This window comes from Homo sapiens, chromosome 1, assembly GCF_000001405.40.
Source record: "Homo sapiens chromosome 1, GRCh38.p14 Primary Assembly".
Lineage (NCBI taxonomy): Eukaryota > Metazoa > Chordata > Mammalia > Primates > Hominidae > Homo > Homo sapiens.
In genome coordinates, this window is record NC_000001.11 from 245,212,552 (window position 1) to 245,231,917 (window position 19,366).

At 46.0% G+C, this 19,366-nt stretch overlaps 1 protein-coding gene and 1 long non-coding RNA gene across 2 annotated transcripts in view, besides 1 other annotated feature; one reads left to right on the forward strand and one right to left on the reverse strand.

Moving 5' to 3' along the window:
* KIF26B (kinesin family member 26B) overlaps window positions 1-19,366 on the forward strand; it is a 554,448-nt gene that overhangs the window by 57,567 nt on the left and 477,515 nt on the right. The gene's annotated exons all lie outside the window — the stretch shown is intronic.
* KIF26B-AS1 (KIF26B antisense RNA 1) overlaps window positions 1-19,366 on the reverse strand; it is a 28,074-nt gene that overhangs the window by 6,108 nt on the left and 2,600 nt on the right. The window contains exons 2-4 of the long non-coding RNA NR_151721.1: window positions 13,466-13,591; window positions 3,587-3,752; window positions 1,603-1,655 (exon numbers count right to left, since the gene is read on the reverse strand). This is a non-coding gene — a long non-coding RNA (KIF26B antisense RNA 1). The remainder of the gene's footprint in view (window positions 1-1,602; window positions 1,656-3,586; window positions 3,753-13,465; window positions 13,592-19,366) is intronic.
* Window positions 704-1,903: an enhancer, noted in NCBI's record as "BRD4-independent group 4 enhancer chr1:245376557-245377756 (GRCh37/hg19 assembly coordinates)". NCBI's record gives its function as "activates an origin of replication core promoter dependent on BRD2, P300/CBP, MED14 and CDK7 cofactors, and independent of BRD4, by STARR-seq in HCT116 cells {active_cell/tissue: HCT116}" and the evidence as "EXISTENCE:reporter gene assay evidence [ECO:0000049][PMID:35650434]".

The window sequence follows — 19,366 nt, forward strand, 5'->3', positions numbered from 1 at the left end:
TCCTACGGGTGAATGAGGCTTGCATCTCTCTTTTGCTACCATCGAGAGCAGCAGCTCAGTCAGCTAACTTCCGTTTGCCTGCCGGCATGAGTTCAGCGAGTTTCCCCTTGGTTTTAGAGCCAAAGCCTGAGCACTTGGTGTAACTTTGCGTGCTGTCGCCCTGAGAGGCGGCACCGTCGGGCCCCGAGTCAGCCGTGTGCTCGAACCGCCCCACTTTACCATTCCTGTTCCTCACCGGTCACTCTTTAGTAGAGTCCCGTCCACTTAAGGAGCACTTCATACCCATGAATTGAGTAAAATTATTTTACAGCATATGGCATTTTTCATGACTATAATTACAAAGGATTCTAGACGTCATTGATGGGGGTTCTCCCTGGCGCTAACACTGAGTGAGAAGTTGACCCAGTTAGATTAAAGCTCAAGTTAATAAACAGCATTCACACATTTCTAGGCCTGTTGACCAATATCCTTTAAATCAGTGTGGCTTTCCAAGGGGGGAGCAAATAAAACCCTAAGGTAGCCAGAGTGCTGTTTTTTCCAATTAACCTTGTTCGTTTTGATTTCCTTTCGGTTCAGAACAATTTAGGTCAATCTTAGATTTTTAAGAATGAACCTCTGGAGGGAGAGGAAATTAACTAGGCCCTAAGGGGGCTTGGTTACCACAATTAACCCCAAAAGACAGACTCTCAGGCTGGTGGGGGGCCTGGAGAGGGGCCACATGACCACTTCAGGCCATCTGCTCACATGGAGACCCTGGTGGGAGTGTCCTCTTTTCTTTCCTGCTGGCTGGTTAAATAAACTCTGCAGGCTACCACGCTGACGAAGGGTCTGCCCATTTCTCATGCTCCTTCTGTCTTTTAGCCAAAGCTGTGTTCCCTCTCTTTCTGAGAAGAGGGATCAGCAAACCCTTAACTCCCAGAGATCGCTGGTGGAGTTCAGGGATGGAAGTGCCTGATCCAGGCAGACCTAAAGCAGAGGTAATGGAAGAGAGATGGGAGGACAGAGAAGAAAAGAAGGGCGTGGGGCAGGAAGGCAGGGCCAGACTCCTTTCTGTGTTAGGAGCAGAGCCTTCCTTCACCGGAGCCTGGGCAGTCAATCACCCTGAGAGCGCTGGGAGCCTTTCATCATCATCAGAAGGCGTTGTGCGTGGTGTGGATGCACACGTGACCGTGTGCCGCACCTTTGTTCTGCCCGTTCCTTACTCCTTATTTAGGTGATGAAAGATGTGGTGCCCCAACTTTAAGTTCCACTTGACGCAGAATTTCCTGATTGAGGATGGAGCCTGGGGCTACCTTGAGGTAATTACGGGATAGTCGTTGTACCTGGAACGTACATTTTTCTAAAGTTGCCACACAGTAAGACTCCCACAGTTCTGTCCACACCCCTTCCCATGACATTATTGTTTCTTCAAAAGGGACCAGCCGCTGAGATTTTGTTAGCAGGGAAATCTGTTTCACAGGAAGGAGGGATGTGTAGATGGGACCTAAACATCGAAGTTTATAATTTGGTGAAAACCTGATAAATGGGAAGACCATTTGAAATAGATGTTTCAGTGGCTGGGAGTCCCAGATACCCTTGAATTTAACACTGCTCATTACATACCTCAGTGACCAGAAATTGGAGACCAGCCTGGGCAACATCGCAAGACCCCATCTCTACAAAAAGTAAAAAAAAAAAGAGTCAGGCTTAGTGGTGTGTGCCTGTAATCCCAGCTCCCTGGGAGGTTGAGGTGGAAGGATTGCTTGAGCCCAGGAGTTCAAGGTGACAGTAAGCTGATTGGGCCACTGCACTCCAGCCTGGGCAACACTGTGAGATCCTGCCTCTAAAAACATTTTTTTAATATCATCATAAACTCTGTCAGAAATACAAAGGAGCATAAAGAATGTAACAAACAATCTGTATCCACAATCTGGCCTAATAAATAACACATTACCATCCCATTTGAAGGCTTTTTGCCAGACAGAGGGCAAGTCCTTGAGCGGGCGTCCAGTGCAGGTGTGCTGAAGAGCCCAGCCTCAAGCCTAAAATGGGATAGTACAGGACATGAACATGTGAGGCAAGTGGATCACCTGAGGTCAGGAGTTTGAGACCAGCCTGGGCAACATGGTGAAACCCCGTCTCTAGTAAAAATACAAAAAATTAGCTGGGCTTGGTGGTGCGCACCTGTAATCCCAACTAGTTGGGAGGCTGAGGCAGGAGAATCGCTTGAACCCAGGAGGTGGAGGTTGCAGTGAGCCGAGATTGTGCTGTTGCACTCCAGCCTGGGTTACAAGAGCAAAACTCCGTCTGAAAAATAAATAAGTAAATAAATAACGACATAGAAGACAGAATATGGTAGGCGGTAAAAGGGAAATGCTGAGCAGCAGAATGAGAGTAGTCAGAGTTAAGAAGAGGGAGGCATCTTGGGAGATCGGCTGAATGAGGGCAAACTTGATGAAGGAGGTGGCATGTCAGTTGGGCCACGGAGAACGGGTAGGATTATCTACTTTGTTCTGCATACATCTCCCTAACCCTTCCCTTAAGCTTCTCTTCCAAAGTTTCTCTGGGAAGTTTCTCTTTCCCTTCCCAGACTAAAGCTCTTTCCCTGCTGTTTGTCCTCTCTTGCTTGGCTCAGGCTATGATGGAAAACGTCCTCAGGCTGGGTTTCTGGGTGCCAGATGGCAGCCACCATGGGAGGAAGGGTGGCCGAGTACTCTCAGGGCCCGGCTCCTTGGTGACCAGCCAGGTGCCCTCCAGCCAGCGGCCCCAGCATGACACGGTCCAGGTAACCTCCCTTCACCGTGCTATTGGGAGGGTGTTTTCCAGGACTGGTGTGAAGTAGATTCAGTTCCCGAGAAGGACAGAGCTGCCTGATGCGTGAACAGGCCTCTCTGAGACCAGGGAGGCCACAGCTCTGAGACATGAAGCAGATGCTGCTCCTCAGGGCCTGTGGAGAGAGAACTCTACCCTCTTCCATTTCTGAAAGCCAGTGGAGGCTTCTCCTCCTCTGGAGGATTCATTTCATTTGTTAGTTAACGCATCCATTCCTTCAACATAGATTCATTCCATGTCAGCTCTGCCCCAGGCCTTATGCTGGGCTCGGGGTGTGGAAAATGGAATCGAAGCTGGTCTCTGCTCCTGAGAGGCTTACAGCCCCTTTTAGGGTATGTGCTGGATCTGGAAAGCTGGGATAGAAGAAATTGGGTGACTGTGTATTGTCTTTGTGCTTTTGTGTTTTTTTAGAGGCTTCTATGATCAGAATATTTTTGGACTAATGATGTGAGTTCCTTAGATAATTTGAAAATGTGCCCCTATATTCTCTACTGTTTAGAGTGGTATAATGTTGGCATGACCTCATCTTCCTTTCAAGATTACATATTAAAAGAAAATTTGACTTTATATTAAACGAAGTCAAAGCTGGGTTCAGTGGTGAGCACCTGTTGTCCCAGCTGCTAGGGAGGCTCAGGCAGAAGGATCACTTGAGCCCAGGAGTTCGAGTCCAGCCTGGGCAACATAATGAGACCTTGTCTCTAAAAAAAAAATTAATTAATTAAAAAATAAATAAGTAATAGGAATCAGACCCCAGCATCATAGTTGTGCATATTACCTGTTATTTCTTTAAGAGATATCCCTTCTCCTTGAGTTCCATTTTTATGGGAATTACTTGCTTTAAAAAAAAAAAACACACACACACAAAAACTTCAAAGATACAGCATTGACATGACGATAAACTTCCATTTCTTTAAATAAGCTCCTTGCAACATCTGATGTATCTGTAACAAAAAGAAGGGCAGGAGAAGGAGCTTGCATTTATGTTTATGAACAGGGTAAACTCAGAGACTTGCAACCTTTACCCCGCCCTCCCCCACCCCACCCTCAAGAAGTCCCGAAGAACAAAAGGCAATTCAGATGGCAGAATATTACTTCTGTTGCTGTAGCACCAAACTATTAAAAATAAAACTGTCCCTCAAGGCAAAACATTTCATTTATTTTCCTTTGAATGAGTAACTTGTTTATTAAGATGAACTAAGTGGCTAAATCTAGATGGTACGCAGGCAAGAAAAATTGATGTATTGTAGCCTTTCGGAAAGTATGCTTTATGTTCCCTGGAATCATCTCTGGGTTTTAAATGAAGAAGAGCTCGTTTAGTCAGATGGGGAGCTGCTCTCCCTGGAAATAGGCATCACCCGGCTCTGCAATGTGGAATGTCATATTTGACCTTGGTTCTTTCGCAAATTGGTTCTTTCTGGGCTAAATCAGTGTGTTGAAAGAGTTAGCTAGGTTTAGTGATCTTCAAAGGAGGACCACGTTCCTGCCTCAACTGCGTCTGCAGTTTTTTGAAGTGTTTAATATAAAATCGTTTCACTTTTGCCTTATTTCATATTTGAGATCACTGTGCTACTGCATCTGTTAGAGAGGCAACACAGAGCACAGGGAGCCAACTGCAGTCCCTGGAGCTTCTGAGAGAGCTCCCTTTGTTGCTTCCTGACCCAGCCTCAGAGGCATCCCGCCCACAGGGAAGGATATTTGTCTCAGCAGGGAGGTTCCCCATTACTGTCTCCTCATCTGGGGACACAAATGTGATGTCCAATTCCCCTCTGATTGAGGTCTCATTTGCCCTAAACTAATGCAACTTGAAAGGAGAAAAGGGTGTCAATGGTTAAAACAACAACAATGACAAGAACAACAAAAACCTCCACCCAATTTAGCAGTGAAACAGGAAACGCCGTATTGAGGAGAGAAGCTTTTAGTTGGAAAAAAAATTTCTCTTTAGAATTTGGACAACAAATGACTCTCACTCTCTTTTCTGGTGGTGATTGTTTTATTTGTTAATTTTTTTTTTTTTTTTTTTGAGACGGAGTCTCGCTCTGTTTCCCACGCTGGAGTGCAATGGCACAATCTCGGCCCGCTGCAACCTCCGCTGCTGGGGTTCAAGCGATTCTCCTGCCTCAGCCTCCCTAGTAGCTGGCATTACAGGTGCCCATCACCACGCCCAGCTATTTTTTTTTGTATTTTTAATAGAGACGGGGATTTTTACCACATTGGCCAGGCTGGTCTCGAACTCCTGACCTCAGGTGATCTGCTCGCCTCAGCCTCCCAAAGTGCTAGGACTATAGGCATGAGCCACTGCGCCCGGTCGATTGTTTTATTTTAATATCACGACACACATATTATTCCTGATTTGTAATCTCACGATACCCGCCTTGCTCGCCAAGAGTCCTGAGTGCTGGCCTGGTAAAGATGATTATCTCCATCTTTCAGACGAGGAAACCAAAGTTCAGAGCACAGGTCCGCAGAACAGTCACAGCTGCCAGCAGTTGCACACCCACATGCGCCATCCCATTTGATCATCACCAACCTGCCGGTTAGGTTTTCTTGTCACCCGAATTTTACAAAAGTGGAACAGAAGCACCGAGAGAATAAATGAGCTGCCTGAGATTCATCAACTGCTGGTGGAACTGGGCTTAGTCCTGCATTCTTTCCAAAGCCCCCATGCGGTGACTCAGTATTTGGCCATTTTTCTTTATCCTTTTTGCCTGGTGACTCTGAAGAGAGCCCACCTACAGTCCAGCATGTCTGGATCCTGTGCAGCGGGCAGAGGCCAGAGGCCATGGTGGGGGCCCCAGAACTCAGGCTGGGAATCCCAGGGGCTACTCCAGCTTTCATGTCACCAGAGCAGTGACATTCGGGCCCTCGGGGGCAGACTGTGCCTGTGGCTTCTCAGTGGGGTGCCTTAGGGTCCCCTCAGCAGATGGATCCCATCTCCTGGTCTGGTTAGCATAAGATAAACAGGGATAGTAGCAGCAGTTGTCACTCTGAGGGAGGGAAGGGGAAGGGAGGGCTCAGGTGAAAAGCAGAAGGGAACTCTATGGCTGTCTTTCTTCTCCCTGTTTACCTGTCCACCCATCTGAGAGATAAAAGAAGAGCAGAGGAGGGTGAGTGAGGAAAAAGCAGGAGGGTATTGGGTGTGGGGCCGATGGTTTTCACTCAATCCGCCGGGAGATCTGAATATCAACTCTCTATGGAAGAACAAGAACCGAGGTGTCTCTTCTGCCCCATTTCTAGCCCAGGGTGACCCCAGGAGCTCTGCAGTGTGCCGCATGGAATCGCCTAAGATGGGACTGCCTTGGAACAAACAGTTTCAATGTCTATTTCACATGTGCGCTCTAGCTCAGAATTTTAATAAGCAAATATACATGGTACCTTGCCGTAGGGGGGCTTTATGTTTCTAAATCTATGAATTAATAAACAGGATGAGCCTTTTTAAAAAAGGGAGCTTGGGGCAGAATGAACCACTAAAAAGTTATTGGCTCTTAACTCCTGCTTTTTGTAGAAGCTTGACAGGCAGCTGACTCAGCCAGACCTGAAACCCTTTCCCCGGTTCTTGTTGGCATTTCTGACTTTGCCATTTCAGTTGGCACTGACCCTTCCAAGACTGTGTATGCCAGGAGGGAGCATCTGCCCCCATCTACTCTCTGGGAAGATGTCCTCTCCCAAGAGTCAAGAGTGTCTTGTTCTGACCGTGGGTTACTTCTCTGTGTCTGTCTGAGAGGGGAAAGCATTGTCATCACACAGGAGGTAGCAAATACCTACCTCTTTTTTTTTTTTTTTTTTTTTTTTTTTTTGAGACGGAGTCTTGCTCTGTTGCCCAGGCTGGAGTGCAGTGATGCGATCTCAGCTCACTGCAAGCTTTGCCTCCCGGGTTCACACCATTCTCTCGCCTCAGCCTCCCGAGTAGCTGGGACTACAGGTGCCCGCCACCACGCGCAGCTAATTTTTTAGTTTCACCGTGTTAGCCAGGATGGTCTCCATCTTCTGACCTTGTGATCTGCCTGCCCCGGCCTCCCAAAGTGCTGGGATTATAGGCGCGAGCCACTGCGCCTAGTCTGCTCTGGTTTCTAATAGAAGTAGGTATTTGCAGCTAGGCGCGGTAGCTCATGCCTGTAATCCCAGCACTTTGAGAGGCTGAGGCAGGCAGATCGCTTGAGCCCAGGGGTTTCAGACTAGCCTGGGCAACATGGAGAAACTCCATCTCTACAAAAAATACAAAAAATTAGCCAGGTGTGGTGGCACATGCATGTAGTTCCAGCTACTCAGGAGGCTGAGGCGGGAGGATCACCTGAGCCTAGGAGGTCAAGGCTGCTGTGAGCTGTGATTGCACCGCTGCACTCTAGCCTGCGCAACAGAGTGAGATCCTGTCCCCTCCACCCCAAAAAAAAGAAAACAAAGAAAGAAACCAGAACACCAGGTGTGTCTTCCTGAGTTTTCACCCTGATCACTGCCTCTCCTGCCAGCTCCCTGCTTTCCAGGGAAGAGTTGGCTGCGCCAGGGGACAGAGCACTGACTCCCACCCAGGCCACTGGGACAGCCATATCTAGGCCTCAAAAGACTATGGGGGTTCCTAGCAAATTCCACCTTATTTGACTTCTCCGAACAGCCCAAACTCTGCTGGGCTTCTTCCCTTGCCTTCATAGGAGACTTGATGCAGGGGGCAGAGGTGAGAGCCCAGGGGGACAGCTGGCCTTCAGGAGGGGTCCTTGCTGGGTGTTTCCAGGAGAGCTTCGGCCTCTCTCTCCGCACCATGTTCCAGGTGGCGTTGAAGACCAGTGGGTAATTTGGGGGGTGTGGGAACAGAAAATCAGAGGAACAGCTAGTGTTTTCTTCCTTGAGACTTGTTTCCCCTTTGACAGTTTAGATGGATAGTAACAATAATCACCGATAGGAAAGTCATCCTGACTGGGGTCTGAAGCCTTCCGTGGATGTTCCCGTCTAATTCTCACAGTAACCCTGTGGGCTTTTAAGGTAAGAATGATCACTGACTCCACTTTTCACCAGTGTCGGAACTGAGACTTGGAGAGGTTCAGTGACCAGACGATGGAGTCCAGGGTCCAGGGTCCAGGGTCCAGGGTCCGGGGTCCAGGGTCTTCACAGCCTGTGCTCCCTCCCCTTCCGTTTCTCCTCTTGCTTTGGGTTTGGGAAGCCTCCGCGGGGTGAGGTGGAGAGTGCGCCTCACTAGTCAGGCACCCCGAAGGAGTAAGGCATGTGACTGTACAATATCCCAATAAAGCGTGTGGGTGGTGGGGATGGGTGGGCGAGGTTGAGATCCATTCTTTAAGGCATTAAATACTGTCTCTTTCAAAAGGAGGTTGTGCTGTTTTGCAGCTGGTTTTCTTTAACTACCAGAAACACCAGCATTGTTTCAGAAAGCCACAGAATTTCCAAACACAATGAGAATTCCAAGAGGATGGGGTGTGGGTTTTGGGGGCTGGGGTGGGTATGGACAGGCTTTTGGGGAGGGAAGACCACAGCCTGAGTGGTTTTGTCCCCCACGGGTAATGAATTTCACACGGCTCCACTGTCCTCAGTTTTATCTGCAGGATGCTCAAGTTGAAGCCTGGGAAAGAAGGGGATCGGGAAGGAGCAGGCCCCAGGGATTACAGTGGCCATAAAAACCAAACAGTGACCCAGGACAGCCCCATTTGGTGTGACCTCTAATGACTGCCTTCCCTCAGCTGGTGTCAGAGGAGGCACATGGTGTCAGTTAAGTTCCAAAGTGACATTTGTATAAATAAGTTTGTTAATGGGAAATGAGTTTTTTTTTCTCCCTCTCCAATCTTAAGAAAGTGTGTAGCCTATATCCAAATATTTCTGAAAGAGCATCAACAGTAACGGCAAACAGGGGAGCTAATGTCACCAACAAAACTTGTGAGGTCAACCCAAAGAAAGAAGGGAATAAATGAGCAAAACTTTGGAAAGAGTTTCTCACATGCTGAAAACACTCAGCAATATTTCTAACAAGCGTGGTGGCCCTTCAGTCAGAAGTGGCCTTTCTCTGAAGTTTGAAGTAAAAAAAAAAAAAAAAAAAAAATTCTGTTCTTCCTGCTTTTTTTTTTGAGATGGAGTTTCACTGTTCTCACCCAGGCTGGAGTGCAATGGCATGATCTCAGCTCACTGTAACCTTCGCTTCCCCTGTTCAAACCATCTCCTGCCTCAGCCACCCAAATAGCTGGAATTACAGGCCCCTACCACCACGTCCGGCTAATTTTTGTATTTTTAGTGGAAATGGTGTTTCACCATGTTGGCCAGGCTGGTCTTGAACTCCTGACATCAGGTGGTCAGCTTGCCTCGGCCTCCCAAAGTGCTGGGATTACAGGTGTGGGCACACCGTGCCTGGCCTATTCTTCCTACTTTTTATACTTTGTGTTTGCATTCAACTTGACAAACTCAGGCAGCCTTACCAGATAGCTTGGTATTTGTGAGATTCAGTTCTGAGTTTTGAAGTAAAATTTTAAATGTGATTGTTTTTATCCTTTAAAGTATAGAGAAGTCAATAGCCTTGGCTTCTAGGTCTGACTGACTGTTCTATGGATAATGGATATGGATAATGTGAATTGGAATTTATATCCGTGGAATCAAACATGTTCAACTGCATGACATGCATGACAGAAAGTGGCACTTGGCAGAGACAGAGAGGGAAACAGTCATTCTCCCGAGCTGTGAAGAGTGCAACTCTAGAGTACATTCTCAGTTCTTTTATCTGTGGAGGAAAAGGCACGTTGTCATGGTTAAGAAATATCACATGCCAACTTAGTGACGGGGGAAAGACCCTCTTAACAAATGGTCTGGGCCGGGCCTGGTGGCTCACGCCTGTAATCCAGCACTTTGGGGGCTGAGGCAGGCGGATCACCTGAGGTCAGGAGTTCGAGACCAGCCTGGCCAACATGGTAAAACCCCGTCTCTACTAAAAATACAAAAATTAGCCAGGTGTGGTGGTGGGTGTCTGTAATCTCAGCTACTTGGGAGGCTGAGGCAGGAGAATCGCTTAAACCCGGGAGGCGGAGGTTGCAGTGTGTCGAGATCGTACCATTGCCCTCCAGCCTGGGTGACTAGAGTGAGACTCCATCTCAAAAACAAACAAACAAACAAAAACACTAACGTATACTCTAGAGGCTTACACAATTAATTGTAGAAAATGAAACTCTGAAAGAACTAGAAGAAAATATAGGTGAATTTTTATCTAATCTCAAAATAGAGCAGCCTTATTAAAATACGACAGAAGGGAAGCAAAATCAATAAATGAGCCTGAGGTTGAATTACAGATTACTTGTACAAGAATATTCATAGCAGCACCACAGCAAAACCTTGAAACAACCCAAATGTTGCATATTGAGAGTGGATAAACAATAGAGTTTTTCACACAAAATTTTCAAAAATTTTAAAAACAATACCCCCAAATCGACAAATTGTAATGACATATAATCCTATGGCTAAACTTTACAATATAATATTAAGTGCAAAAAACGTTACTTAATACACAATAGCCTTTCTTAACCCAATGTTTTAATATGAAAAATTTCAAACATTCAGTAAAACTGAAAGAATTTTCTCGTGAGTACCTGTATGCCCATCATCTTGTTTATCCCTTTCACACTTTGTTATGTTTGCTTTCTCACATACTCATTCATTATTCCCTCTAATTCAGCAGTCCTCAGCTTGGGGTGATTTTGCCCCCCAGGAATATCTGACAGTGTTTGGAGACAGTTTTAGTTGTTACAGCTGGGATAGGGTACTACTGACATCTGGTGTGGGTAGAGGCCAGGGACGCTGGTCACAGCCTGCATTCCACATGGCAAGCCCCCACCACAGAGAATCAGCTAGCCCCAGATTGCAGCAGTGCTGAAGCTGAGAACCCCTGCTGGAATCCATCTTATTTTCTGATACATTTCAGAGAAACCTGGATTCACTGGTATACTTCCTCCTACATATTTAAGTATGTATATCATTAACTAGATTTCCATATTTATTTACAGTGTTTTTCTTTTGATGTGAAATGTACATGCAATGAAATGCAGAAGTCTTAAGGGTACATTCACTGAGCTTTGGTCAGGGCATGCACCTGTGTAACCCAGACTCCTGTCAGGACAGAGGACCTTACCATTGGCTTAGAAAATCCCCCTTAACTCGTCTCCAGTCAAGCCTTTCAGCCTCCTTTCCCCAGGAGGCAACAATTATTCTATTTTTTTTCCACCATAGAAAAAAGTTAGAACAGTGGTTCTCATAGTTTTGTGTGTTTTAGAATTGCATATAAATGGAATAACAACAGATGCACGCTTTGTCTGAGACTTCTTTCACTCCATAGCACAGCAGTTCTGCAAGTGTGTTCTGCAGACCTCTTAGGTTCTCCAACACTCCTTCAGGGGGTCCCATATGTCACAGCTATTTTCATTATAATTCTGAGACATTTTTCTCCTCTACACTGTGCTGACATGTACGTAGATGGTGCAAAGGTAACGGTGGGTAAATTGAGGCAGTAGCACCAAACTGTACCTTTGTCAGTGTGTTCTTCATCACCACCAACTTACAGAAAAAGGAGTCAGCATCACTTAAAAATGCCCTGGGTGAAGCAGAACAGATGTGCATCTTTTTAAATCTCAGCCCCTGAATACATGTTCTTTTAATATTCTGTATGATGGCCGGGTGCAGTGGCTCACGTCTGTAATCCCAGCACTTTGGGAGGCTGAGGCGGGTGGATCACCTGAGGTCGGGAGTTCGAGACCAGCCTGACCAATAGGGACAAACCCTGTCTCTACTAAAAATACAAAAATTAGCCGGGTGTGGTGGCGCGTGCCTGTAATCCCAGCTACTGGGGAGGCTGAGGCAGGAGAATCGCTTGAACCTGGGAGGCGGAGGTTGCGGTGAGCCAAGATTGCGCCACTGCACTCCAGCCTGGGCAACAAGAGCAAAACTCCGTCTCAAAGAAAAAAAAAAAAAATTCTGTATGATGTAATGGAAGGTCCTCATAAAGCACTTCCACTCCACCGTAGTAGCACGATTGTCTTCAGGAAGGGCGTATACGCAGTTGTTTGAGTTGCCAGCCAAGCTAGCTGCTTTTCTCATGGAACACCATTTTTACCTGGAAGAGCAACTGACCAACTACAGTTATTCAGGTTTGCGTATGTGGCAGTGAAGCTGTCACTTCAAGGGAAACAGCTGACAGCATTTGTTGCTATTGATACAACTTGAACTTGCAAGGAAGAATTAGAATTTTTGAAAACTTGTATTTGTCACCATGAACTTGAGAGCTTCCCAATAACTAACAATTTTTCTGACAAGATTGGTGGTGATATTGACATATGATTTAAAAACATAATGACATGCATCAACATTTGCAAGATATGTATAACTCACTGAATAATTATTTTCTAAATGACCTGTGTAGGATATTATACAGTTATACACAGGTAAAAGTTCCATTCCAACTGTGGCGTAGACCAATGGATTTCCATGTAGTGGAGTAGAAAAAGTTTACTGATAACGGTTTCAGGGCCCATATTGCAACTAACCTTTAAGAAACTACCACTTTTAAAGTTTTGGTTTGTATCAAAGATGAATAGCCATAATTATCTGAAAAGGCTATTAAAATAGTTCTTCATATTCCTACTTCATATCTGTGTGAGGCTGAGTTTTCTCTATATTCTCCAACCACAAAAACTTCCAGATGAGTTTCCAAGGTAGTTTACACCATTTTACACTTCTACCACAATGTCTGAGACTATAATAGCCTTTTTACAAATTTACAACAGCAAAACACACAATTTCAGAATTCATAGAGATGAGATACTACTGTGTAAAAAGCAAAGCTGGGGACTGATACCCACAGGACTTGAGGTGGCAGTAACCTTGGGTGGGAGAGTCCTGCATAGCCAGATGTGTACCTGGTGAAGGGCCAGTTAAAGCGCTGTTGTTTAAACCAAGGAGAAGGGTCCTGGGGGTGCCCTTTGCCATAGGAAACTATTTCCCATAGTATTAGTATCTGTGGCTAACAACATGGCCACAGGCTGTACTTTCCTGTCCAATCTCTGTGTATCTAAGTCTGCTGAGGCTGCAGATTCCTGCAAAGAGCAGTCGATGGCCCTCTGCAGGAGGGCTGATGGAGAAAACATGCGTCGGATGCTTACACCGGCCGTGTCAGAGAAGAGGAATGAGCCTATTGCTCCTGCCATGTAATGATTCCTGTTGGGAGTCAGTGACTCCTTTTCTGTGGGGCTACCCTCACCCATCCACATTTCTGGCTTTCCTTGCTAGGGGTTCTTCCCTCGTCTTCCAAGTCCTGTGCAGGTGGCTGGAGGCCAGAGAGGACTCATTTGGCTATAATCAGAGGCATTCCCCTTTCCTCGGTCCGTAGGGATGGAAGGGTTTGAGCCCGAGTTTATTTACCCTTAGCAAAACACAACTAGGTTTTATTATTATTATTATTTTAGTGCTTGGGATAAAAAGGCCCATAAAAACAATAGCATAAAACAGCTTTTACTGATCAAACGTCATGCTGATTTATTTGTGAGTGAAATCTGAACCATATGGTCTGGCTTCCCTTAAAATGCACAGGGGGTTCAGGATTAAGGGAACAAACTCTTGGCAAATTTGTTTTGCGTTTCACTGAGCACATCATGTTAGAAACAAAATAGAGCAATTGTTGAGTGCTTACTGTGTGCAGGAAATTGTGCTTAGTGATTGATGTCCATGATCTCGCTTCATCTTCACAACGATCCATGCAGTCAGCAGCGTTCCCCACGAGGGGCAGCAGCAGTGCTGAGCTCAGGGCCCTCATGACCTGCAGGAAGGTGGGCAAAGTGGGGAAGATCTGGAATCCAGTGGGGAAGAGTCGTCCACCAGTGACAGCACTTCCACCTAAAGTCCCCTGATCGTGAAAGAGATGAAACTGCAAACGAGGACGTGAACTTGGGGCCTGTGGATCAGCTGGCCTTCTCAGGTTGCAGAGAGCCAGCTGTGCATTGTCTTATTCCCTTGTCCCAGCAGAGACTGAACGCTAAGTCTTTCCCACCATCAAGGCATGAGGTTTCTCTCTTTGCCGCATTTGTGTTGGGCATCTCAGCCCTCAGTCTGTATTCTTGTGGAGGGTGCACCTCTTTTTTTTTTTGTTTTTTTGTACACACAGTTTTGCTCTTAGTTGCCCAGGCTAGAGTGCAATGGCGCGATCTCGGCTCCCTGCAACCTCCTTTTCCCAGGTTCTAAGCGATTCTCCTGCCTCAGCCTCCTGAGTAGCTGGGATTACAGGCATGCACCACCACGCCCGGCTAATTTTGTATTTTTAGTAGAGATGGGGTTTCTCCATGTTGGTCAGGCTGGTCTCAAACTCCCGACCTCAGGTGATCCACCCGCCTCGGCCTCCCAAAGTGCTGGGATTATAGGCATAAGCCACCGCACCTGGCCAGATGCATCTCTTTGAGTTTGGGAACGAAAAGGGTATGATGGCAGAATCATGTGCTGCCAGTCATGATCACAGTGATGTTCATTCTGGTTCCTGGGCTTAAGCTTCTAATTTGCTGTAAGAAAGCTCAGTGGGCTTGCCCTTTGCCTAAGTGAAACCAGCTTATTTCCACTTTTCTTCAGGCACCCTCACGGACATCCAGTGCCACGGTCCTGCTTTGTCAGGCAGCATCTTTCAGATTCTTGAAAGACAGGCAGCTTGTTTCGAATGACCCACAGGGAATGGTGCACCATTCACTCAGTCCACCCCTAGCACGGGCCAGTCCTATGTCGTTTTTTGGCATTTTTGAGGAACAGCTCCCTTTTCAGTACCAGGTGACATTATTACCCAGATCCAGTTGCGGAGAGGCGTGTGTGTCTGTCTGGTTGAGCTGAAACGTGGGCAGATCAGAAAGGAAGGAAAACTGGATTAAGCCAGGATTTGCTTACCTGGAAGGTCCAGAAAGAAATTCCCCTTCCTTCCACAGCCAGAGGATTTCAAGTCTATAATGTTGCTAAAATTAGCAGTGTAACAAAACTTCCCATGTGATGTAGCACAGGTTGATGGGGTAAGCCAGTGTAACATGGAAACCCACTGGCACCTCTGCATCTGGGCCTAAGGCTGCGGCCTCCGTCCTCTTCGCCATCATTGGCCTCTCTTGTTTCTTCCCACCCCTGTCACACCGCCCTTGACCATGGTTGTCTGTCATGTGGATTCCTCACGGGCAGAGATACTACCCTCTGAGCTTGCTCCCTGCTTTGCTCTGGAGTGTGGAATTTAAAACTTGTAATGATAGGAGAAGGGAAGAACACAGTTACAGTATTAGACTCACTGTTTCCTGAGCCACTAAATGTATCAGACTGTTATATTTGGGTTATTTTCCAAAAACCTTTTGGTAGTCATTAAAAAAACACTCTGAGGCTGGGTGTGGTGGCTCACGCCTGTGATTCCAGCACTTTAGGAGGCTGAGGTGGGTGGATTACCTGAGGTCAGGAGTTTGAGACCAGCCTGGCCAACATGGTGGAACCCCATCTCTACTAAAAATACAAAAAATTAGCCGGGCATGGTGGCGGGCACCTGTAATCCCAGCTACTTAGGAGGCTGAGGCAGGAGAATCGCTTGAACCCGGGAGGCGGAGGTTGCAGTGAGCTCAGGTTGCGCCTCTGCACTCCAGCCTGGGCAACAAGAGCGAAACTCTGTCTCAAAACAAAACAAACACACTGTGGCTATATTTATTCATGGAAACAATGATATAACATTCTTAGACTTGCCTTCAAAGGCCACCTGTATTAATAGGGTCCCACGCATGCCACTTATAACATGGATTCTGTAGCACATTGGGACATCGGAAGCCTTCTCCATTCACTCTCCCTTGCTCTCCCTATTGTTCCAGCACCTCCTGAGGGGGCCCTCTTTCAGGAGCTTTGATCATTCCCTGCACTTGTACATTTCCATAACTAGCACCACCTTTGTATCTAGATGTTTGCATGCAAGGGGCATCTCCAGGTATCTTCCCATGTATCCTTAGTTGCCCAGGCGGGCGGATCACCTGAGGTCGGGAGTTCGAGACCAGCCTGACCAACATGGGGAAATCCCACCTCTACTAAAAATACAAAGTTAGCTGGGCCTGGAGGCGCATGCCTGTAATCCCAGCTACTTGGGAGGCTGAGGCAGGAGAATTGCTTGAAACTGGGAGGTGGAGGTTGCAGTGAGCCGAGATTGCACCACCACACTCCACCCTGGGCAACAAGAGCAAAAACTCCATCTCAAAAAAAAAAAAACAAAAGGCAGTTTCCGCAGTTGTAAGTAGGACTAGAGGAAAGAGTGATGATAATATTGATAACAATAAAATACAATTATTGAGTGCTTACTGTATATAGGAGATACACTTAGTAATTTACATGTATTATCTCACTTAATCTTCGCAGTAATCTGAGGAGATAATGTTACCCTCATTTTGCAGCTGAAATGTAGCAGGTTGCTTCACCCCTGGAGGCTGCACGCCTAGTAGTGATGGAGCAGAGGCAGGAGCCTAGCGTCACCTGACTCCAGAGTTCATTCTCCAATCACCGCATGATACTGACTCCTAATCGTAGCCTGATGGCTTTAACAAGAGAAAATAAGGTTACCTTCCAGCTAGAGGGATTTATTATTATTATTATTATTGTATTTCTTTATTTATTTTGAGACAGGGTCTCGTTCTGTTGCCCAGGCTGGAGTGCAATGATGCAATCTTGGCTCACTGCAGCCTCCGCCTCCCAGGTTCAAGCGATTCACATGTCTCAGCCTCCCTAGTAGGTCAGACTACAGGCACGTGCCACGATATCTGGCTAATTTTTAAAAATTTTTTTTAGTAGAGACTGGGTTTTACCATGTTGGCCAGGCTGGTCTTGAACTCCTGACCTCATGTGATCCACCCACTTCGGTCTCCCAAAGTGCTGGGATTACAAGCGTGAGCCACCGCCCCCTGCCGGATTTATCTTACCCATGTGTCTCTGACAGGATATATTGTCAAATTCCCAAACTGTATTTTTAGGGGGGTTGCAAATTTTGCTTCCAAATGATCTTCTAAGAGCAGGATATTCTCTGCCTGGAGTGATGAGGGTACCATTTCTAAAAGAGGTACATTGTAGTTCAAACTCCTGCAGGTAAGGAGCCGTGACTTACTAACTTTCAACTTTGACACATTCGCAGGTAAGAGCAGAGCTACGCACTACAGCAAAATCCAGGCTGTCCGTCAGCAGCTGATGTGCCCGGTACCTTTTGTCTTGGCCATCCTGTTGTTCATTAATCTGATGTATACTCACTGTGTTTGCGTTTATTTTCCTAACATTTTTAGCCTCATCCTATTCCTATAAGTGACAGGCACTGTAACTATTGAAAGTACTGATTAAAAGTAGTGTTTGATTATTCTGTAAGCAAAGTAATACTTTGGATTAAAACAAAGTGACTGTCATCTGAATCTTAATTTCTGTTATTTTCCAAATTTCTTTATTCATTCTCCTGTTGATGTATATGAAGATGAACAAAGAGAGCAAATAAAACCACTCAGAGGCCGGGTTCGGTGGCTCACGCCTGTAATCCCCGCACTTTGGGAGGCCGAGGTGGGCGGATCACAAAGTCAGGAGTTCGAGACCAGCCTGGCCAACATGGTAAAACCCCATCTCTACAAAAAATAGAAAAATTAGCTGGGCGTGGCGGCACATGCCTGTAATCCCAGCTACTCTGGAGGCTGAGGCAGGAGAATCGCTTGAACCCGGGTGGCGGAGGTTGCAGTGAGCCGAGATCGCGTTATTGCACTCCAGCCTGGGCGATAGAGCGAGACTCCATCTAAAAACAAAACAAAACAAAAAGCAAAAAAAAAAAAACAACAACACTCAGAACCCACACCTACAGTGTAACTAGAGACGAGGTGTACCGCAGACTTGGGGAAATAAATGTCCCGAAGCAGCAGAGCTAACTCCCAGCTCCCACCAAAAACGATGTTACTTCCAAAGATACTGCACTTGAACAACTGAAGAGAGTGCTCTTGAAATAAGAAACTTAGAGGCACCCAAGGGATTTCAGACCTATTTTTGCTGGTCTAAGAAAATCCAATTGATGTAAGAATGACCAGAAAATGGCAGCAAACATCCATAAAAATTTGCTATAAAAAGAAAACTGCCGGGCGTGGTGGCTCACGCCTGTAATCCCAGCACTTTGGGAGGCCGAGGCGGGTGGATCACCTGAGGTCGGGAGTTCAAGACTATCCTGACCAACATGGAGAAACCCCATCTCTACTAAAAATACAAAAATCAGCCGGGCATGGTGGCGTGTGCCTGTAATCCCAGCTACTCGGGAGGATGAGGCAGGAGAATCGCTTGAACCCGGGAGGCAGAGGTTGTGGTGAGCCAAGATTGCGCCATTGCACTCCAGCCTGGGCAACAAGAGCGAAACTTCATGTAAAAAAAAAAAAGAAAAGAAAGAAAGGAAAAAGAAAACGAAGGAAGGAAATACTCCCTGAAAACAACCATGAAGAAAATGAAAATTGTTAACACCACCTCCAACATGAACTAAATATAATTGCACAAGCATTTAAAGAAATGAAAGAAAACCTAATACCAGAAATTTGAAAAATCTCAAACAAAATGCTGGAAAATGTAAAATTAAAGATTATGACATGCCAGAAAGAAATGGAGGAAAAAGACAAAAAAAAATCATCTCAGGCATGAAGACGAGATTACAAGATGTCCATTCAGATTCTACTGAAAAAAATTATAAGGGATATTGAGAAGAGGAACGAAACCATTCAAGACAACAAAAATGAGATAAAGAGAGGTGAAAAGAATCAGAGAAAAAGTGATATATAAGCTAGGCAAAGAAAGTCCAACACACAAAATTGAAGTTGAAGAACAAGCAGATGGAATAAAACTAATATTTAAAACTACAATCTAGGCTGGGCGCAGTGGCTCACATCCATAATCCCAGCACTTTGGGAGGCTGAGGTGGGCAGATCACCTGAGGTCAGGAGTCTGAGACCAGCCTGGCCAACATGGTGAAACCCCGTCTGTACTAAAAATACAAAAAATTAGCCGGGCGTGGTGGCAGGCACGTGTAATCCCAGCTACTTGGGAGGCTGAGGCAGGAGAATCGCTTGATCCCGGGAGGTGGAGGTTGCAGTGAGCCAAGTTCGTGCCACTGCGCTCTAGCCTGGGTGACAGAGCAAGACTTCGTCTAAAAGAAAAATAAATAAAACTAGAATCCAAGAATTCTTTATGGAAAAAAGAAGATGTGACTCTACATACTGAAAGTTTCTACATGCATCTGGGAAAATTGACCCAGCGTGATTAAATTCTAGATGTATCCTCATAAACTTTGTGGTTAAAGATGAGGGAGAAGGAGGAGGAGGAGGATAAGGAGGAAGAGGAGGAAGAAAACAAACCTCTGGGCCTCCAGTCAAAAATACCAAGTCACTTAAAAAGAAAAAAAAATTAGATTGGCATCAGCCTTATCAACAGCTACGTGCAAAGCAAGACAAGGATGGAACAATGTTTTCAAGAAAGGTAAGGACCATCTGAATCAAGAATTTTAAATCCAGCCCATCTGTCTTTCAAGTATCAAAGTTATCGAAAAAAAAGT